This window comes from Homo sapiens, chromosome 7, assembly GCF_000001405.40.
Source record: "Homo sapiens chromosome 7, GRCh38.p14 Primary Assembly".
NCBI lineage: Eukaryota > Metazoa > Chordata > Mammalia > Primates > Hominidae > Homo > Homo sapiens.
Genome location: NC_000007.14, coordinates 119,457,445 through 119,479,689, shown reverse-complemented (window position 1 = coordinate 119,479,689; position 22,245 = coordinate 119,457,445). Strand labels below are relative to the sequence as shown.

General features: G+C 31.6%; 1 long non-coding RNA gene across 1 annotated transcript in view; it reads left to right on the top strand.

Moving 5' to 3' along the window:
- The window catches only part of LOC124901816 (uncharacterized), a 39,766-nt gene extending 20,414 nt beyond the window's left edge, over positions 1 to 19,352 (top strand). The window contains exon 2 of the long non-coding RNA XR_007060648.1: positions 18,996 to 19,352. This is a non-coding gene — a long non-coding RNA (uncharacterized LOC124901816). The remainder of the gene's footprint in view (positions 1 to 18,995) is intronic.
- The last annotated feature ends 2,893 nt before the right edge of the window (positions 19,353 to 22,245 follow it).

The window sequence follows — 22,245 nt, the reverse complement described above, 5'->3', positions numbered from 1 at the left end:
AACATTCTAATATTCTATGGTTCAATGTAGTACCCACTACCCACATGTGGCTCTCTCAAATTGAGTTGTGCTCTAAGTGTAAAATACACACTCGGTTCCAAAGACTTAGTACAACAATTATTGTATCAATATTCCCTATGTTGATTGTATATTGAATAATACTATTTTGAATGTATTGGTGTAACCTAGTAAAAGTCTTATTTGAGATGCCACTTCATACATTGTTCATTTGTGAAATTGTAATTCAACTGACTTGAATAGAATCTAGGAAAATTCTTTCTACTTTATTTAATTTTGCTCAATAAGTAATTATGATAACTATGATAGTGTTCTTCAACTGAGTATCCAGTTTCTCTGGCTCTTGTGTGTATAAACATGTTTGTTCATTTTATGTATTTGCTTCTATATTTGCACCTATATTTTAAAGAAAAGTTTATACCCTAAGGTCTTGCAGAGTCAAAGAAACCATAAGGAAAAAGTGGCTTCCCTAATATTGTGGTGAGTAAAGTCGTTTTGGGGCAGAACAAATAATACATAATGTATTTTTTCAGGAATTATTTTTTCAATGGTTTCTTGTGCCACTTAAAACCTCCTGAGTAAGCTAAATACAAATCAGGCGAGAAATTGAGTAGTCTTGTTTCTCTGCACAGAGGCTTGGATGCTATATTTGATGAAAACCGTATTTGGATTTTGTAGCTACAGGAACAACCTCAGAGATTCGCTCATGGGGATAAAAATATTAATATATGAGACAACATGAAAAGCAATTCAAAAACAAAAAGCACAAAACCAAACAGATCACAAAACCACAGAAATGCTTTTTTAAATTTATTTTTATTTTTCCAAGATAGGCTTAACTAAGAAATGCATAGTTTTTTTCAAAATTATTTGTTTATCATTTTAGATGTATTTGTTTGTAAATTGACAATCTTCCCATATGTGTAAATCATATCATAACTGTTAATAACAACACATACAACTAAATGTGATTACTCCAAAATGCTTGAAAAAAATTAATGTCAATCTGATATGGATAAAAGGAATAATTTATTTGAGGGTTACATAAGTCAATAATTCACTCCCAACCACTATCTTACCTTTCTTAATTGTTAACTAGAATTTTTATAAAAAATGGTACCTGACAGACACCTGAGAATAAATTTAAGTGCCAACCATATTTTTAAAGAAAATAATTAAAATATTGTCACCCATTGTAAGCTGTTGAATCCTCCTGCTAAGACTAGATTGATTCTCAGTGTACAGTGTACTTTTTGGTGTTTTGCTCATGAGATGTAGTAGCCTTTGGGATGGCACAGCTACTATTTTTTCAAAATATTATTCCACTCTATTTCTGCTCATTCTTGTAAGCTTTGCCAATACATAAATATAAGATTATTTCTTTCTGGCTACAATCAGCCATTAACACATAGTAGTAACAAGCTGGATGAATAGGCTTTTATAAAGAACAACCTTACTTATAGTTAGTATCTTGAATATCTATGGAATATCTATGATCATTTTGTACATAAATTATAATACTGAATGTAATCATTCTTTCTTGAAAATTGTAGACTCACATTTATCCTTACTATTCTAAATTTAATCCGTGCTGACTTTAATTCACAGACATTACACTGATATTAGCAAAAATGTATAAAGTTTATATAATCAAAACTTCATCTCAACAACTATTGATAGTGCCACTACATTTTGCATGCTTTAAAATTGATTCAATATGTAACCTAATACATTTAAGTTGCCCTCTTACCTTGCATTTGGCCACACATTCTCATTTGCTGGATCCATTTGTACTGCCCCACTTCCTCTTTGTTATTGGTATTATTCCTTTCAAGAAATATGGGATTTACAGGATATCAGAATTCCTGGTTCCTGAATACAAATGTAGTAGCACTTCCCCCGATGACAATTAGTGTTGAGTAAGGGGAAAAAAATGTTTGCTTACGTCAGATAATGAGATTGATGCTCTGAGAGAGATGTAAAAACTGAATACAGAGAAGGCAGTGGAAAGCAAATATGCACCCCCACGACCAAAACCAAGAATAACAAAATGGTGAATTCTGAAACAAGTGCCAGTTTTGAATGTAAGAAATATAAAAAAGAAATTTTCTTACCAAAAAATTAGGGATGCCTTAAAAATAAGCAAGAGGCTTTCAGGTAAACATAATTTGAACAATATGTCTAAGTAGGAAAGTTTCTTATTGTTCTAAAGATGAGGGGGTACAAGTATGGTGAATACTGAAAAGGTTTACCACAAGCATCTAGGCTCAGAGGAGGAAGTCTTAAAAATGGCAATTAATGAAAGCAATAAATAGCAATGAATGAAATACTGACACCACAAAATTAGACATATATAAAAAGTTTGTGTTTGTTAAATTTATGGATATTATGTTAGTTTTTTTCTGCAGAACCAAATGTTATGGAAAACTTTAATGAATTCATTTCTGGTGATGTTCAGAAAAAGAAAATTATGATTAAGCAACTACGTCTAAGGTTTGCGAGTACTGATTGTTTTAGGAACCATTATCTTTTCTATTCACTCATTTTGTTTTTTTTAAATAACAAAACAGTAATTTTTACATCCTGAATTAAGCAAATCTGTGCTCAATTACATCACAAGTATAAGCAATTGATATAATAAAACATATGGCAAGAATAATTTTACATTGCCTTATTGAAAAGGGTGTCAACATCTCCATCTTCCATAATTGAACATCAGAGCTAAATATGAAAGCATGGTTTCATAGTATATAAAGATGTTAACACATTTCAGTACTTTATTTCTACTCCTTATGCAGAGATAACTAAGATAAAGTATTTGTCATCAAGTAGTGTCTAGTATAGTAAGGACATATAAACAGATAAACATCTACAACATGATGTGATTCTTGATTAAAAAAAAGATCGCACGAGTTCCACTAAAAACACATTTAGAGTACTATATTTAATTTTAAGAAGGCTATGATATTTTTAAAAGGCTGTCAATGATCTAAACAGTTTAAAAGAATGTGACCATGCTGGTTAAAGATTAAAAATAAAACTAAATCAAGAAAGTTGAAGAACTACGTTTTATTTTGCCTGGAGAAATGAATACAAAAGAGAAACATTACAGTTGAGTTTTCTTATTTAAGAAGCTATTATTTTAATATTGGAAGCAAATTATACTCTTCCAGAAGAGAAACAGCTGACTAAGTATGATTAGATACAACGAGGCACAAAATCTTTTTACTTTTTAAAAATGCATACTTCCCATCAAAAAAGGGTTACTTATACAAGTATTTCTCTCTTTTAAGTATATTAACTACTTCAGTGGAAATTTTTGAGCAGCTTAGGTAATCATGTGAATGATGCTATAGAAGGAGGGGACTTGTTTTCAAATTGGCAGAATAAACTAAATAATCTCAATGACCTCAACTAAATAATCTCAATGATCTCAACCAAATGATCTCAACCAAAATCAACAAAGATGTTTTAAATCAAATTGAGATTTCTCCTCAATTAAAAATATAAAGTTCTGTCATTTAAACTCCTTGGTCTTCATTTCTCCGACCTGTAAAAGGAAATCTATACCCCTTGTATAGAAAGCACCAATACCCAAATAATGCAGTAAATATAGATACGGTCCCATTCATGAAATCATCTCAATAAGATGGTGAATTTGTCATTGGAAAGCTCCAAGTTTTTCATTAAAAATCAGTAATTTAACAGACATATTGAATGATTTACATGCCAGGTACTGTTCTCGGCACTAATGAATGACACACTCACTGTCTGGGAACAGAGGCTCTGACACTGCATTGTAAGCTTTATAGTGATTCGCAGGAGAGCACAATAATATCTTCTAAGAATTTTTCAAAGTAATAGGATATTTTGTGATTGCCATAATGATTGGTGAGGGATATTCCTAGAATTAGATATGCCAGAATCACAAACACTAAATAGTTTCTTTAACCTATAAAGCTTTGAATAACCTGCCAGATGTTCATAGTCATCAAAAATCTGCTAAGATTTTCTATACCTAAATCTATACTTTATAATTTTATATATAATAAAATATGTTAAAATAACCATACTATATAATTTTATTATAAAGTATAAATTTAGCTATATATATATGCATATATATATACACACACACATATAGTCAGAATTATATATAGTATATATATAGTCTTAGTTTACTATACAGTATATACTCTATACTTATATATACACTGTACTATACACACTGTCTCTATATACTTACATATAAATATTTAAATATTTTTATATATTTCATAGATATATATAAAATTTTGACTACTTGTCCAGTATACTTTCCAATATAAGTCTCCTTCATCTACAAAATCATTTTAAATGGATAACAACACTGTTCCTTCTACATACTACTAATGAATAATCTAAAAGTAAACTACAAATATATTTCAATTATCAATCTCATGAAAAATAAAATATACTTGAGATTAATTTTAACTAAAGAAGTACAGAAATGTGTACATAAAAATCTATAAAATATTGCTTAGAATTTTTTAAAAATATATAAATAAATGTACAGATATCCATATTCATGCATTGGAAGACATAATACATGCCAACACTTAGATGAATCTCAAAAACTCTATACTACATTAATGATGCTAGTCACAAAAGACCACATTTTTGTGTGATTGGGTGATTTCATTACTATGAAATGTTCAGAAAGGACAAATCTAGTTACACAGAAAGAAAGACAACAGGAAGTCACTGCAAATGGACACAAGGTATCTTTTAGTGGTAAGAAAGTGTTCTCAAATTGGATTGAGGTATTGAGTTTTACACTCAAAAATGAGTGAGTGTTACACCATGTGAACTGTATTTCAGTAACCCTGCTAAATGCCCCTATACGCATGCACAAAAATGCACAAACTATCAAAATTACTTTTCAAAAAATTTTTGAGCCTGACCAAAAATCCAGAAACCTGAAAGAAAATAATTGAGAATTTTGACACCCTTAAATAACAACAAAAACAAAATGCTTCTGCATGAAAATTCCCTAAATAAAATCAAATGGAAATAATATATTTGGGGTGGAGTCAGAGGTGGCAATGCAGCACTAATGAGATAAAGAGTTAAGTGTTACTAATTTAACACTGCATGTGTGTGTCTGTATATATAATTTTTTTAGGGAAGCAAATGATCAAATTTGTGCTGTATTTCAGATAGTCTAAAAAACTTTAGCATGTATAGTTTTGCAGTGTTTTGAAACCATTAGGAATTGTGACAACATTTGTAAAAGTTACAGATAAAGACAAAATTGCTTAACAACAACAACAATTTTAAGTAAATAAGGTAATATGGAGGCCTGGAATTAGAGTGCTGTCTCTGGAGATGTGCTTGAATACAAGCATTATTATAGTTAAAATAGCACTGAAAATGAGAACGGGTGTTAGTTTGTCCAGTAATGTTAGAAAATCAATAAAAAATAGAGTAGCAAAAATCAGTAGGTTAAAAAACTGTTTTTATGTCAAGAAACAGAAATGGCTAGTAAGCATCTGAAAAGATGTTTCACCTCGTAATTAAGACACTATATCAAACAAAACCATGTTCTCTCATTCAACAACCTAATTGGTAAATATACTTTTTAGAAGTTTACATAGTACTCATTGTTGGAAGGGCTGTGGAAAATAGGTACTTTCATACACGTTTGGTCACATTTTAACTTTTTTTGGAATTGTTTTTGAAGGGCAATTAGCCAATAGCTGTTAAAATGAAATATGACTATCATTTTCCCAAAGGTTCCCCTCTGAGGAATTCACCCTACAGAATATCTAAAGGGCCCTCTTGACTAGTCCAGCATAGTAGAATTAATGGCTCTAACAAAAATAAAAATAATAAAAAATGGTTAACAACTTATAACCTGTAAAATAAATCATAGTGTGCCCATAAATTGAATATTCAACATTCAGTAGAATGTATCAGATATGATTGTGTACACATTGTTAAAATTATTGAAATGAAGGAAATGTACAAAGATAAAATAATATCCTAAATATTCTATTGTTTTAAAAACATTTAAAAAAATATTAACAGTGGTTTCATTTGGGGTCAGTAGGGCTAAGAAAAAGGAAGAAAACAGTTATCCTTCCTTATATAATATTTATTATGAATGATTTACTTAAATCACAATATAATTATTTCCATTAAAATAAATAGTATAAAGCAATATTTTAAGGAAATTAATTTGAAATGTACTTTGTAGTACTTTTAATATTTTGGTATCTACTCTCATTTAAAATTCCTGAGCCTTCCAGAATAAAAGTCCATAAGTGGGCTTTTGAAAATAAACTGGGGAATAAATACATATATTTATACCATATAATTCAATGATAGTAGAATTCTATATTCATTTTTTAAATATAATATTAACTGCTTACTAAAAAAAGGTAATGATGGCTGAAAATTGCTATAAAAAACTGGATCCTGTAACTGTAAATGATATAACTGGAAAAAGCAGTCAAATTTACATAAAGCCTATAGTGAAATTAATAGTGTGGTAACAATTTTGATTTTTTTAGTTGTGATAATTATAATATAGTTGTTCAAGGTATCAATCTGAGGAAAAGCTAGGTGAAGGGTAAAGTGCAGCTTTTTGTTTTATTTTTAACTCTGATAACTCTAAAATCATTTCAAGTTAAAAATTTAAAAAACTGATATTGTAACATGGGTTTGATATGTTTATATTTGTTTTTATGATGGGAAGTACATTTATATCAGAAGAGAAAGAGGAGGTGATCCACATTTAATACACATTGTTTCCTGTCACCTGTACACTCATTGCACAATATCTCTGGAAAGAGAGACTGATTGTTTAAAGTACCGACTACAAAGATCCTGGCTGCTGCATTGAGGCTTAAGGGTTTGACCTTTTAAATAATTAAACGCAAAATTGAGTGTCTCTCTGTGCCCATACAAATGTAATAATTGCAGTCCTATGAACCTCACAGGTTTGAAGTACATTCCAGATTAAGCCAGCTCTGCAGTCATGTCTGACAACAGAGCTGCAAATGGCAAACAGCAACCTCCGCCATACAGCACCTGCCAGGTTGCACAGAACGTCCCTGTCCCAGGTGCTGTTTGCTAACAACGTCCCAACTTCACACCACGTGATAGTTCTCTCCCAGAGAGAGTCTCAAGGCCAGGCCAAGCACAGCTTTTCTCCTTTCATTTATCCTTTCATGCATTTGCTTTTTCTTTCCTTCCCTTTTGCTTCCGATAAGAGCTATTTGGTAAGGTCCTTTATTATTTAACATTAAAGAGAAAATTCAGTGAATGAAGGAAACTTTAGTATGGCTTCATTTAATTAAGCTGAGAAAAAATTTACTACCCAAGAGATATGCAATAATAATGCACATATCCAAAGCATAGAAATACTGACAAGTTTCAGGATTTTTAATCGTATGTTAGGAAAAAATTGTTTTATTACAATACTTGCTTTATTTAACTACAGATTTGTTATTACACTAAAGATTAAAATATACCCTGAATAATTACAACTCCATTTAAGCTTAAAATTTAAAATAACAAAGACAATTTCAAAAATTTTAAATTTTAAAAATTGTAAAAGTTAACATTCCTTAGATATTTATTATGTGTCAGATAATACACGGTAAATTAGAGACTTACCGTGTATCATCTATTTAAATCTCCATGCAGCCATTACGAAGGAGATATTATTATTTCCCCATTTTACAGGAGGCAAGGAAAACACTGATGATAACCTTTCGAAGATTACATAGCTGGTAAATGATGGAATAAAAATAAAGCTCAAACAATCTGATTTCTAATCTGTTCTTCTAACCATTGTTTTATATCACCCACCCCTTTCATGGCAATGAGTACTTTAGTATTCTCGATTTTTTTTTTTACAAAATAGCACATTTATGATTTTTGTTATTATAAAAATATGTGTGTACATTTGTATCTTCCTGGTCTTACATGAAAACAAAATTTTTGGCTTTAACCTCTGTATGAAACAGGCTGTTTAATTACACATTCTAAATAAAAATAGGACTGGAAAGCAAAAAGTTAGAAAATTTTGATAGAAATACAAATGCATATGTGATTATGCAACATATAAACCTTTAAAATAAAAAAATATATATTTATATTTTAAATAACTAATATGCAGTTATATATAACGCCACATTATACTAAGAGAAAGAGTTAATCAAAGTTTTTACAATTTAAATAGTTGGGAAGAAATACAAAAGCATTCTCTAGGATTGCTTCTTAATTGCACTTTTGATGAACAGACTTTGAGTCAAAAATTGCTCCCATACTCCTCATTCTTTTGGAAATACATTGAGGCTTTCATTAGTGAAGATAAATCACGAAGATGACAAGATCAGGAAGAGAGTTTGGGAAAGAATGAAATTAAGAGTTCCAAAAGTAGCTAATTTTTCTATTTTTGCTCTATTGATCATTCTTATCAATCTTCTTATCACCTGATGGTATTATGAAAATGGAACCCAGGTACTCATGCCATCAAAACGAGGCCATGCAAATGGTTATGGGGGACCTTATTAATGGGAAAGCAGTAAAGCACACAATGATATTTGGATGTAATATGGGTAACTGCAGCCACCATGGGAGGATCTAACTGGGCTTATTTTTCCTGATGTGCTAAGTGAGCCTATAAAAAATGGAAACTATCCTGTAGGATTTTTTTAGAATTAAAAAATGAGAATTCATCCAAAATTATCAGACCTTGCCTAACATACCACACATTTGCCATAATTAGAATAATAAGTATTATTCTTGCTATTTTGTAAGCATTATTCTGTACTTTTGCTCCAAATGAAAGACGACTGATAAAAATTCAAAGCCAAATTCAGTCAGGGCTATAGCACCTAAAACTGCTGAGAAAAATACTGCAGGATGAACAGGGGTTAGACCCCCTATCACACATTCTTTTACTTTTTGTCCAGCCTTTTAATGTAAGATTAACTTGTCCCTTCTAATATCCTATATGATAAATAAAAGGCATATGAGAGAAGGCTATGTCATATATCTGATATCATGTAGCTCAATGATCCCCCAAAACCAGAACAGTTCTCAGCCTGACCCATTAAATCTTAGGGGTAGGTACTTCTGTCAAAAAGAAAGAAAAATGTATTTGGAATTAATTACGGCAGAAAGAACCCTTAAGGATAAGCTGAAATATATTCTAAAGCAAAATACATCCATTGAAAGGTAGGAAAGGTACAAAAAAAGATGATCATGATAAAAGCTATAGAATAAGAGCTATTTAGTCCCATTTTAAAGTGAACAAGTAATCATTGCAATCATTAGAAATTTGTGGAGCTCTCTATTCATATAATTAAGCTATTGCTGTCTGAACTAAAAAACTCAACCAATGTGTCAAACAAAATTCACATAGACAGGACTTCTTCTTTGCTTCCAGGTTATAAAAGAATCTGAATTAGAGGTTACTTAATTTTTGTAGAATAAAAATGGCAGGTGTCTCTCATATCTTTGAGAAAAACTCGGTCATGATGTAAATTACAGGAGGCATATGCAAATCATTTCTAAAACATATATTTACAAAAGCCAATATAGATATTATTATCATTAAAAATGTTCTAACAGAGAGTAGCTTAGACAGTATTAGAAATTTTATGAAACCTGAGGTCATGAGATAGCATTCAGCATGCTAATTTTAGTCTGGTGGACTGAAAGCTTATAATTTACAGACACACACACTAAAACACACAGGAGCACAAATGCCCTAAGTAGTTATTTAGGTTACATAAGTTCATCAAACTCTCATGTCTACAAACATATCACAGAACTTTATATTTTAGGTAAGAAGTGAATAATCAAGTGTCATTCTGACTGTTAAATTATAATCTTTATTTTACAGATTAGACAACTGTAGTCCAGAAAGGGGAAAGGACCTCAGTGACATCTCAAAAGATCCAATGAGCTGGAGGACTTCAGTTTTTCTATTCACTGATGTATTTTTTCTCCACCTGATATAAATTTCTGATTAAGATCAGTATCTTTGATGAATCCAAGAATGAAATCAAAATTCCCTTGTTTTGTTAAGAAGTATGCTTAAAATAAGCCATCTGAACTTTTTGATACATAGAACAAATCAAACATTATTTTGATAAATATTCAAAACATCTATTTTGATAAATAGAACTAATCAAGCCACTTTTTGATTAATAGAATTCCAAGCTATAGGTTTAGATTTTATATTACATTCAAATAGAAAATGTCACATTTGTGATACTCTTCTCTGTTTTTGAAACAGCAATAATATGACTTACCTGTCTTTATGTCATGACTCCTTTAATGGGTGTAGGTACAATGCTGTGAATTACCTCACCCAGGCATCAGGGATGTATCCAAGGATCTTCATGGCAAAACATCACTTCCCTTGTCATGTCAATTTAAACACTATCAGTCCCACATAGTCTTATCACTGTTACTTCTATTGTAAAAGGTTATGAATGATGATTACAGAATATGTTGGGGACGTGAAGAACTCAAAAGATGTCAAGTCTAATGAGTCACACACTCACAACGAGGATAGGAAAAGTTTACTTTTTCAGAACATAAGACTTTCTGTGGACAGAGGGGCGAACTCCCAAGCAGATCCAAAATTCACTTGAGAGAGTAGGAAAGGGAGACTAGCTTGGCTTTGACTGTGGTTAGAGTTTCTTAAGCAAGGGAGCTAGGACTTGTGTTGTTTCGGTCCCAAAAGAGAGGGCATCAAAAAAGGGGCCCCAGTTAGTTCAGGTGTGAAGCAAAGGAGAAGAGGGAGTGGTGGAGCTTGAAGTCAGTTAGCAATCCAACAGCAAAAGTAGAGTCATTTTTTTTCTATTATTATATGTACCTACCCCTAATTGTTATCAGATAAATTGCCCCATGGAAAATCTACAGAGAATTCAACGTGTGATGCTTCTTTTAATGAATAGCTAAAATGTCTTTATTTTTTTCACAGTTTTACATATGTCTGCTGAGGGTAAAGCCTGCAGATAGAAATAGGATCTTGTTCTAAAATAAGACATTTGGCAGTATAGGAGTGTGTATGCAATGACGATTTTCTTTTAATGACTTTACATCTTTCATTTGGAATACAAAATGTAAATCCATTGAGAAAGAGAGGCCTGTGAGAACAAAGCAAAGAGAGCATCAATAAAACATACTGAATGTGCACATACATGTATACACCCACATACGAGTGTCCACATTTTGAAAAGTAAGCAATTCCTTTTTGCAATTTGCAGTAATCATCTCTAGAATGTGTCATTATCTGTAAATAAAATTTGAAAACCAAAGAAATATAGTTTGGTAATGCTGATTTAAATTAGATTTAAATCATTTGGATACTTCTCTGAGTCTCTTGAATTTTTCTAAATACAATGAGTGAAATATTTGCTTTTTTCAGTATTTGTTCTCTTTAGAAAGTCATTTCAAGGTTATACTGAGTTAAACAATTTGCCTCAATGAATAAATAACAAGAAGGATTAATAGTCCATTATTACCACATCTTTAGTATAATTGTAAGAAATTAAGATTGTTAATGACTCTAGGGCAAACATAATACATATTTCGTAAGCTGAGTAATTTGCAGTAATTTGATCTAAATACAATTGAAAAAGAACTACACAAAACAATCAACTGCTCATTAAAATAACTTTGCTAATATCAATATGTGAGTTTTGTTTTATAACTCAACAGAAGTTTAGTTTAATTGTGTTAATACAACAGATCTCCCTTCATGCATATCTATTTGTGCACATATAGAAGACTTATTCTTCCTTACTTCTATGAAGTTGAAGAATGATGCTGACTCTTGCTTCTTTCTAGCAAGAATATCATAATCAGCCATGAGTTATGAGCTTAAAAAACAAGGTACAGTTATTCAATAAGGAGATGCATTTGTAATAATATTTTTTGTTTTTGTAATTATTAATTATATGTTTAAAGTTTTATTTTTCCTATCTGATAACAATTGTGGTTATGGCAGAATCCTAAAATTTTGATTTAGAAATTAGATTTTTATAATTAAATAAAATAACTCACTTAATCACAGTTTCATGGGGATTACATGCTAAATTTGACATTGTTAGCATCTGGCTCTTGGCCCTTGGGCCACCCCAGGGTACAGTTTGGTGGACATGGCCCTCATACAGTGACAGCATCTTGCCCGAAGTCTTGCATCTTGCTAACTTAGGGTTTCCTCTGGCTATGGGAGCCTGTTTAACTCAAATTTGGAAAGACAGGGAAGGAAGTGCCTTGAAATTGCTGCCTCCAGGAGAAATCCTCTACCAATAAGGGATGGAGGTGAAGAAATAAGCCATAGTTATTTTCTTTTAATGAGATGCTTATATTTTACTAATCTGTTTTCATACCACTGATAAAGACATACTCGAGACTGGTCAATTTACAAAAGAACGAGGTGTAATTGGACTTAGAGTTATGCATGGTTGGGGGAACCTCATAATCATGGTGGAATGCAAGGAGGAGCAAGTCATATCTTACATGGATCGTGGCAGGAAAAGTGAGAGAGCTTGTGCAGGGGAATTTTTCTTTATAAAATCATCAGATCTCATGAGACGTATTCACTATCACAAAAACAGCACAGGAGAGACTTGCCCCCATGATTCAATTACCTCCCTGCTGGGTACCTCCCACAATATGTGGAAATTCAAGATGAGATTTGGGTGGGAACACAGCAAAACCATATCAAATATATATACTACTCAGTCGTTAAGAGCAATTTCAGCAGAACTGAGCTACAATTGTCCATAGCAGTAACTCATTCATTAACCCCACTCCCTTCTTCTTATTTACTCCCTTTCCCTTCTGCACTTCCTCAATTCCTCACCAGGCTTCCTGGAAAATATGTGGTAATTTTATGTTTGATATATCATTAATTCTTATAAGCCTTTACTAGTAACCTTTTAAACTTTAATAATGGAAAATTACAGAAGTCAACTAAAATGTAAATGTTGATATACACTTTCAAATTTATTTTAGGGAGTACATGAATAAGATAACTGAAATTTTTTAAAAAGTGTTTTGTCTGTTTGAGAAGGAACCAAAATGAGATTAGAAATATATGAAATGGACATAGGGCAAAGGCATACAAAAGCAGTTGTAGTAGAGGAAAGTAATATATCTCTTTAGTTTGGACTTTCCATTCTCCACTTCTACCTTTATTTTAAGGCAGTTGACCTTGTATAGAAAAGGTGAGGGAGGAAGAGAATATGAAAGGAAGAATATGAAGAAAAGACCAACTGCGCGTTTGATGTCTGTCATTATGTAAACATCAACTTTTTAAAAATCATTAAACTGTAATGATAAATTTTAATATGGAAAGATTCTTATAATATTAGTTTTTTCAAGTAAATACTTTTGAAATAGTTATTTCACTTAATAGTAATTAAGAGTACTACATATGGTAGCTTTTCATGTTTGTTTGTTTGTTTTTCCCCCTGGCAAAATGTGGATAAGCTCATAGGGCTGTAGTGAGGATAAAATGAGTTCATTTATTTAAGGTACTTGGCCCTGTGCCTGGCACAGGGTAAGTGCTAAAAATCTTATATAAACAAATAAACAAAAGATATTCTAGAAAGTATGTTTAAACTTTAACTTCTTGGAGATAAATTGCCTTGTCTCCCACGTGACAGTCATGTTATCAGAAACTCAGTATCTGAATGGGTACATTTTAGTTCCAAAAGTCATTTCTTGTGTTCTTATAACACTGCAAAGTAAAATATTTGCATTTAATTCTATACTTCAGAAATCTGGGAAGGGAAGTACATGTTAAACAGAAATCTGTCCTCTGCTTGATTTAGTTGCCAACATGTGAGTAAGACTTTAACTCTCTTTTAGCATACAAAATAATATAATTTATACAGTCTTACAAAAGTAGGACATTCTGTCTTTTCCAAAAGCATGAATAAACCTGGAAGACATTATGCTAAGTAAAATAAGTCAGGAACCGAAAGACAAATATTTCATGATCTTACCCATATGTGAAATCTGAAAATGTGAAACTCACAGAAATTTTGAGTACAATGCTGGTTACCAGAGGCTGGTGGAAGGGTGTGAAAAAGGGGAGATGTTGGTCATTCCATTAAATAGCAGGATAAGATTTAGTCATCTATTGTACAGCATGGTGACCACAGTTAATAATACTTTCATACTTCAAAATTGCTAAAAGGGTGGATAGTAAATGTTCTCACCACAAAAAATTATAAGTAAGTGAAGTGATGGATTAATTAGCTTGATTTAATCATTTCACAGTGTATAACTATATTGTACCTCATAAACATAATTACTATTCATTAAAAATACAAAGCAATAGAATTTAATTATTCTTTATTAGTTAAAAACCTTTATATTTTTCTGTCTTTATGTTGGGTCCTCACTTTTGTAGGTGCCTCACACATGTTAGTGCCGTTGAGAGATTAGGAGGTGTTATAGTATAAAAAACATATTACCTTACAATATACAGTATACTCAAGAACATTTACTATGATAATGAGAAAAGGTATATCAAATCATGTGATAAAAACTCATACAAAGAGGTGTTTTGATGGATTATGTTCTCCATCTATCAGATAAAAATCTTGAATGGTTTCTCTCAGCTTCTCCTCCATTCTTGCTCAGTGAACTCTGAAAAATCTTATTCTGCCACCCTACTTTTATGCCTTAATTGAACAGCCAAGTAAATAATTCTGAAAAAGAAGGGTATTTTGATAGGGATTGCTTTGAATCTGTAAATCATTTTGCATAACATTAACGTTTTAACAATATTACATTTTTTCAATGCTTCTTTATTTGTCTTGCTAGCAGTCTATCAATTTTGTTGATCTTTTCAAAAAATCAGCTCCTGGATTCATTGATTTTTTTGAAGGGTTTTTTTGTGTCTCTATCTCCTTCAGTTCTGCTCTGATCTTAGTTATTTCCTGCCTTCTGCTAGCTTTTGAATGTGTTTGCTCTTGCTTCTCTAGTTCGTTTAATTGTGATGTTAGGGTGTCAATTTTAGATCTTTCCTGCTTTCCCTTGTGGGCATTTAGTGCTATAAATTTCCCTCTACACACTGCTTTAAATGTGTCCCAGAGATTCTGGTATGTTGTGTCTTTGTTCTCATTGGTTTCAAAGAACATCTTTATTTCTGCCTTCATTTCGTTATGTACCCAGTAGTCATTCAGGAGCAGGTTGTTCAGTTTCCATGTAGTTGAGCAGTTTTGAGTGAGTTTCTTAATCCTGAGTTCTAGTTTGATTGCACTGTGGTGTGAGAGACAGTTTGTTATAATTTCTGTTCTTTTACATTTGCTGAGGAGTGCTTTACTTCCAACTATGTGGTCAATTTTGAAATAAGTGTGATGTGGTGCTGAGAAGAATGTATATTCTGCTGATTTGGGGTGGAGAGTTCTGTAGATGTCTATCAGGTCTGCTTGAAGCTGAGCTGAGTTCAATTCCTGGGTATCCTTGTTAACTTTCTGTCTCATTGATCTGTCTAATGTTGACAGTGGGGTGTTAAAGTCTCCCATTATTATTGTATGGGAATCTAAGTCTCTTCGTAGGTCTCTAAGGACTTGCTTTATGAATCTGGGTTCTCCTGTATTGGGTGTATATATATTTAGGATAGTTAGTTCTTCTTCTTGAATTGATCCCTTTACCATTATGTAATGGCCTTCTTTGTCTCTTTTGATCTTTGTTGGTTTAAAGTCTGTTTTATCAGAGACTAGGATTGCAACCCCTGTTTTTGTTTTGTTGTTTTTTTTTTTTTTCCATTTGCTTGGTAGATCTTCCTCCATCCCTTTATTTTGAGCCTATGTGTGTCTCTGGATGTGAGATGGGTCTCCTGAATACAGCACACTGAGGGGTCTTGACTCTTTATCCAATTTGCCAGTCTGTGTCTTTTAATTGGAGCATTTAGCCCATTTACATTTAAGGTTAATATGGTTATGTGTGAATTTGATCCTGTCATTATGACGTTAGCTGGTTATTTTGCATGTTAGTTGATGCAGTTTCTTCCTAGCATCGATGGTCTTTACAATTTGGCGTGTTTTTGCGGTGGCTGGTACCAGTTGTTCCTTTCCATGTTTAGTGCTTCCTTCAGGAGCTCTTGTAAGGCAGGTCTGGTGGTGACAAAATCTCTCAGCATTTGCTTGTCTGTAAAGGATTTTATTTCTCCTTTACTTATGAAGCTTAGTTTGGCTGGATATGAAATTCTGGGTTGAAAATTCTTTTGTTGAGCATAGAATGTTTTTCTTTTTTTGTGCCCTCTTCAATTATTTTCATCCATGTTTCGTAGTTTTCCTCATGGAGACATTCTACTCTTTAGTTAAGTTTATTTCTAGGTATTTTATATTTTTTAGCTATTGCAAATGGGATCGCTTTCCTTATTCCTTTTTCAGCCTGTTCCCCATTGGCAAATAACTGCTGCTGATTTTTGTAAGTTGATTTTATATTTTGCACATTACTGAATTATTAGTTCTGGTTTGCTGGAGTATTTAGATTTTTCTAAGTTCATGTCATCAGCAAACAAAAATAATTTTTCTTCTTCCTTTCCAATTTGTATGGCTCTTTTTTTCTCTTGCCTAATTGCTACAGGTAGGATATTCTAACTCATATTTGGGAGCTAAGAAGGCGGATTCCTTGAAGACAGATTGGTAGTTACCAGAGGCCAGGAAAGATAAGAAGGAGAAGAAGCTAAAGAGAGTTTGAGTAATGTATACAAATAATAGCTATCTAGAAGAAATAAGACTTAGTATTTGATAGATCAGTAGGGTGACTACAGTTTAAATAATGTATTGTACATTGCTAAACAGCTAGAGGAGAATTATTTAGATGTTCCTAGCATAAAGATAAATGTTTAAGGTGATGAATATACCAATTATCATTATTTCATCATTACATATCATATGAAGTGGTCAAATTATCACATGTATCCTAAAATATGTAGATCTATTATGTATTAATGAAAAATAATTATGGAATAATTCTAAAATTCTTATGCTGATTTACAGTTGGAAAGGGAAATTTAATAAAAAGAATAGACCAGGTATGATAGGTCACAGAGGAACAGGTAGAGAAAAAAGTATTTTTTTTCCTTTGAGGAAGAATAGTTTGTTGAATGTAGCACAGAGAAGTAAGATTGGGGACATGTTCCAGGAATGAGAGATTGAAACAGCCAAGAAAAGATTTAAATTTATTTTTTGTTAAAGATTGCAAGAAAGATTTGCATACATTTTCATTGATTTTTGATATCAGATAATGGCATACCAAAAATGGGACCAGGAAGAATAGATGTATTGTGTTTGTGTATGTGTGTCTGTGTGTGTATGCAAATGAGTGCACATATATATTCATAAACAGCATACTCAAGAGAATCCTTCAATATATAACTGGTCTCTCCTCATTGCTGCCCCTTTTGAAATGTTTAACTGCTATCATTGTACTTTTTTATTACTCTTTAAATAGAAGAGTTTGCCTCAGGTTATGTTTTTCTTCTCAAGTCATTTTGTTGCTGTTGTAGCTGTTTGTTTGTTATTTGTGTAATTTTGAAACTGGGAAATGTTTTACTTCCAGGAATTCTAAATCTACTCAAATTATTGCTATCTCAATAATAAATTTCTTCCATTTACTTGTTTTTAAGAAATGTGAAACTTGCATATGCCATTTGACGATGCTTTTTTGCAGGTGAAATAAAATGTTTTAAATAAATGCAAAAAATTGTATTCAAAATTAGAGGTTTTTATTCATCCAAATATATCACATTATATAATACATACATTAAGCAATACTGCAAAAATTCTATTTAATTATTAAGTATTAAGGTTACATATTATTGTTAAATATTAAATCTGCTGTACATAGGCTGAAGCAATCTATTTCTCATAATACTATCCTTGTGTTTTTAAAAGACATTTTAGTTTGTTTCTTTTGGGATGACTCTGAAATCATGATTGATAAAATAGTGCAATTCTATTATTTTATTGGCCAACTATTTTATGAAAATATGACCTCAAAATGTAAATCTTGGGAAATTACCCAAGTGTCATTTTACTTAAAATGTGAATATATTAATATAAGAACTTGTTAAAAGTTTATTAGGAAAAATTAAGCAGTAACTTCAAACTCTAACCATATAAGATTTAAACATTTTTTAGGTTAAGATTTTTATTACCTGATCATGATGAATTTGTCTACACCTCATTAAGCCTAAGGTCTTTTCATGAAATTTAGGCACCTGTTATTGCTATGATTCTCAAATGAGAAAGATCCACATTAACTCTCCCAATTGCCACTGTCACCCTCTGCAGAAAATACATTTATTGTGTCAAGCAACAAATGAAATCAAAACACACACACACAAGAATATTTTAAAGGAATATACAACAATTGCCTTCATATGTTTCTCCTGATTTGGAATATAGAGTTTAATTTGTTAATTAAAAAACTATATATATTTAAAATATTACTCTCAGTACAGTTGTTTCTAGGGGTGCAAGAAAATTCTGTATTCATTTACTTACTATTTGACCTCTATACCTGGTTTTAGAGTGAGGGGCTATAAATACTGACTATCAACTTGAAGATAAATATTGATCTCAATAAATGCCATAAGATGTTAGTAATATCATTCATTTCTACAAAGAAATATGTTTGGAAATAATGAAATAAATTATTTTGTTCCTGGACTGAAACTTTCTATTTAAAGCCCAATAGGTTAAAAGTTTTCTGTTGTAAACAATATTCCAAGATGATCTCTCAGATTCTTACTACTTGGTATAAACATACACCTTGAATTAATATTATCTCATTGAGTGTGGGCAGAATCTGTAGATATGAAAGTATAATTGCTCTGTAGCTTAGATTATGTTATAAGGCAAATAGTGAAGACAGAGTCACTCCTGGGATTGTGTGTGTGTGTGTCTGTGAGTATTTCTTTTCTTCCTTTGTAGAATACTGGAAGAACATTAAAAGTCAGAGAGATGTGCTCCTGTTCATCTGGAAGAAAGCAAAGAATCATGCTCTGAACTCCTTTTGGGGGCATGTGGCCAGGAACTGAGCGTGACCTCTAGAAGTTGAATGTGGTCTCTATTCAGAAGTCAGTAAGAATATGGATGCCTTAGTCATACAACTTCAGGGAAATGAATTTTGTCAACAATTAATGAGTTTGGGTAGTACGCTGAGGCTCCAATATGAATTGGGAGCCCAGATGATTTTTAGCCGGGGGTCCTGAGCACTTTGTTACCTTGTACCATAACTCCCGTACCATGGAAACTGTGAAATAAATTTCTGTCATTTTAAACCACTAACTTGTGGTAATTTGTTATTCAAAAACAGGAAACTAATGAAATCACTGTTATGCGATGAGGTGGCAACTAAAAACCAGTTAGCTGCTTTTTCCATTGTCAACGATTTTTACTGTTAGTTATTAGCTAAACATTCTCTTTTATAGATTTGTTTATCAAATTTTAACACAGAATTAAGGGGCTATTGGAGGAATAAGAGAAAATTAATCATTTTATTTTAATTGTATATTGCAGTGTAATTCTGACATAACATTGTTTCATAATATGCAGATATTGATAATCTAAATTCAAACCATATATTGGCAAGTTAATTTTATAAAATATGTGTATGTTATTTGACAGAGACTAACTCTCCCTACTACATTTGTAGCTATTTTTGGTGATATTAATGTGGATATTCTTAAAATTACATCTATTTAAAAATCTTGGCAAAGGGAAGGACAAGACGTTGTGTTATAAAATTTAATATTGTGATGATAAAAGATGTGCTTATTAATATTCACCACAATGCCAGAAATTAACGAAGGAATGCAGAAGCTCATTCAAAAGTATCATAACCTTCTATTATCTAAAATGGAACCAATAAAAATATACTGCCTTTATGGTTGAAATCATGCTACTTTATTCCTGATTTCTAAGCACAGCTCTGCCAATGACTTTCTGATGTTTGTATTTTGCTTCAAGTATGACCATGGGGAAGCTTATCTTTGATTAGCTTCCATATATATCTCATTATGCACTAATAGATTATTTTATCTTTGAAGAATAAGGAGAAATGTCAACTTTTTAAGAATAAAAGATAAAATTTTCACAAGATAATATAGTTTCTCTTGTCACATTCATTATCAGGAAGATTCACACTAAACACAACAATCTAGGTAACTTCTTACATACCTACCAAAATATTAGAGATACATCAAAAGTGAGCTCCTAAGAACCTAGTTATTGCTTATCATAGACAAGTTTAATATATAAATAGTTTTTATATGAGATTTATCTTCATTGACTAACAATATATAAATAAAAAGTGTGGTAGAAATAAGCAGAAATAGTTGATAAGCTATAGTGTTGTTATTCAAATATTAACAATTTCCCACTGTCCTAACAGAAAGTATGAAAGGTACCTGAGATTTGTGACATTTTTCTTACTCATTATTCTATTTCACATTATTCCAAACAATAATAGGAAAAATCAAATTAGATTATGTCACGTGCTATATGATGTTCTTTTATGACCTTCCACTTGCTACCTATAAACTTAGTCAAATTGCATTTGTGAGAAAAATGTAATTGTTTTACATTGTTTTCAAATCTATTTAATGTCTTCCTTAATAGAAGGCAGTTGAATTCTCACATCTGCTTTTCATTAAATTTTTTACAATAAATTGGCTGAGGTATATAAAGAAAATCAAAGTTTCATGTAGATATGTAGATGGAAATAAAAAGAGGGGAACTTTAATGATCTTCTCAGCTAATTGTTGGTAGTGTTCTTCAAGAACAGATAAAAGTTATTTAAAGGTTAGTTTCAAAATGGAATCTGAAAAAATCAAAATAATTTTATATTCTGTTACATTAGAATCAGTTGACCTAAGAAGAACCTTGAATGGACCTTTTATTCACAGATAATTTTATAACATCATGCATTTGTCATTTGGAAAACATGAGTTCATTGATTTATGAACATCTTCCAAATGTAGGTGAATTTCATTTTACAATATCAAAAATTAACATTGTTTAATATAATTATTAATTTAATTGGAATATTCCTTTATGTAGTCACAGGCCATCAAGTTCACAGTGATGGAAACAAACCCCTAAAATTCTAATTCTTCTTTTCTAAAAGTTTATTATTTTCCACATATATTGTCAATTGTCTTCTGTGATAGGCTTATTTTGTTCATTTTTTGAGGAAACATCTTCCAAATACCCAGACACGAAGTAGTATAATTTGTCTGTAAGTCATTGTCGTTAGTAAAAGTTCCAATCTATGAAATAAATGGTTAGTTTTTCTGGCTACTCAAAACAAACCACTGATATTCCTTGAGACAACCATCATATTTTGGTAAGGACTGACTTGCTTTAAGTGTACATCTCCTTTTGTCAAGCAGATTGTTAAAAATAGATGTATGTGACTTAAGGATCAAGTTTTTGTTTATAAATACTATTCTTTGTTATTTAAATATATTCTTAAGTTAAACTGATATTGGATTATATGGCGGTGCATGGCAATGAATAATACAGTAATTAGTAATAAAATATGGGGACACTGTCTTGCTATAAGTCACTGGCAGTTTTATCCCCCATTGCTTTTCACAATCAGTGCACTTACTGACACAATAAAAAGGCAGATAATATCTTAGAATTATTATGAAAATAGATTGTATTTCCTTGAACCCCTAAAAGGGCCTGATAATTCTCTAAGGATTTAGGGACAATAATTTAAGAATTAATATTTTAAGAGTGCCCCACCTGCTTCAGAGCCATGATTTTGTCACAGAAGATTTGATAAGGCTAGAAGTCTTGTGCTTCTGATCCATTCTCCACAATTCCCCTTTACATCTTCCTCCTCTAGAGCAATCGCCATAGGGCTGTTTCACTTAGCTAATCCAGCTCACCCAGTTCACTTTACAGTCATCCACGGTGAATATAGATAGCTAAAGAAGCCATGTCCTCATTTTTTCCCTTATGGTCCTGTTCTCAGGAAAAAAAAAAAAAATCTGATGTTCACAAAATACGAATGTCCTGGAAAATTACTGTAATGAAACTTGAGCTGATACTTGGAAAATAATCATATTATGTCAATATCAAATAGAAAATGTCTATTTTAGCTGGAATTTTAAAAGTAAGTAAAATCTTACTAAGGCTTCTATCTGGAAAGTATTCCATGCATTAGTAC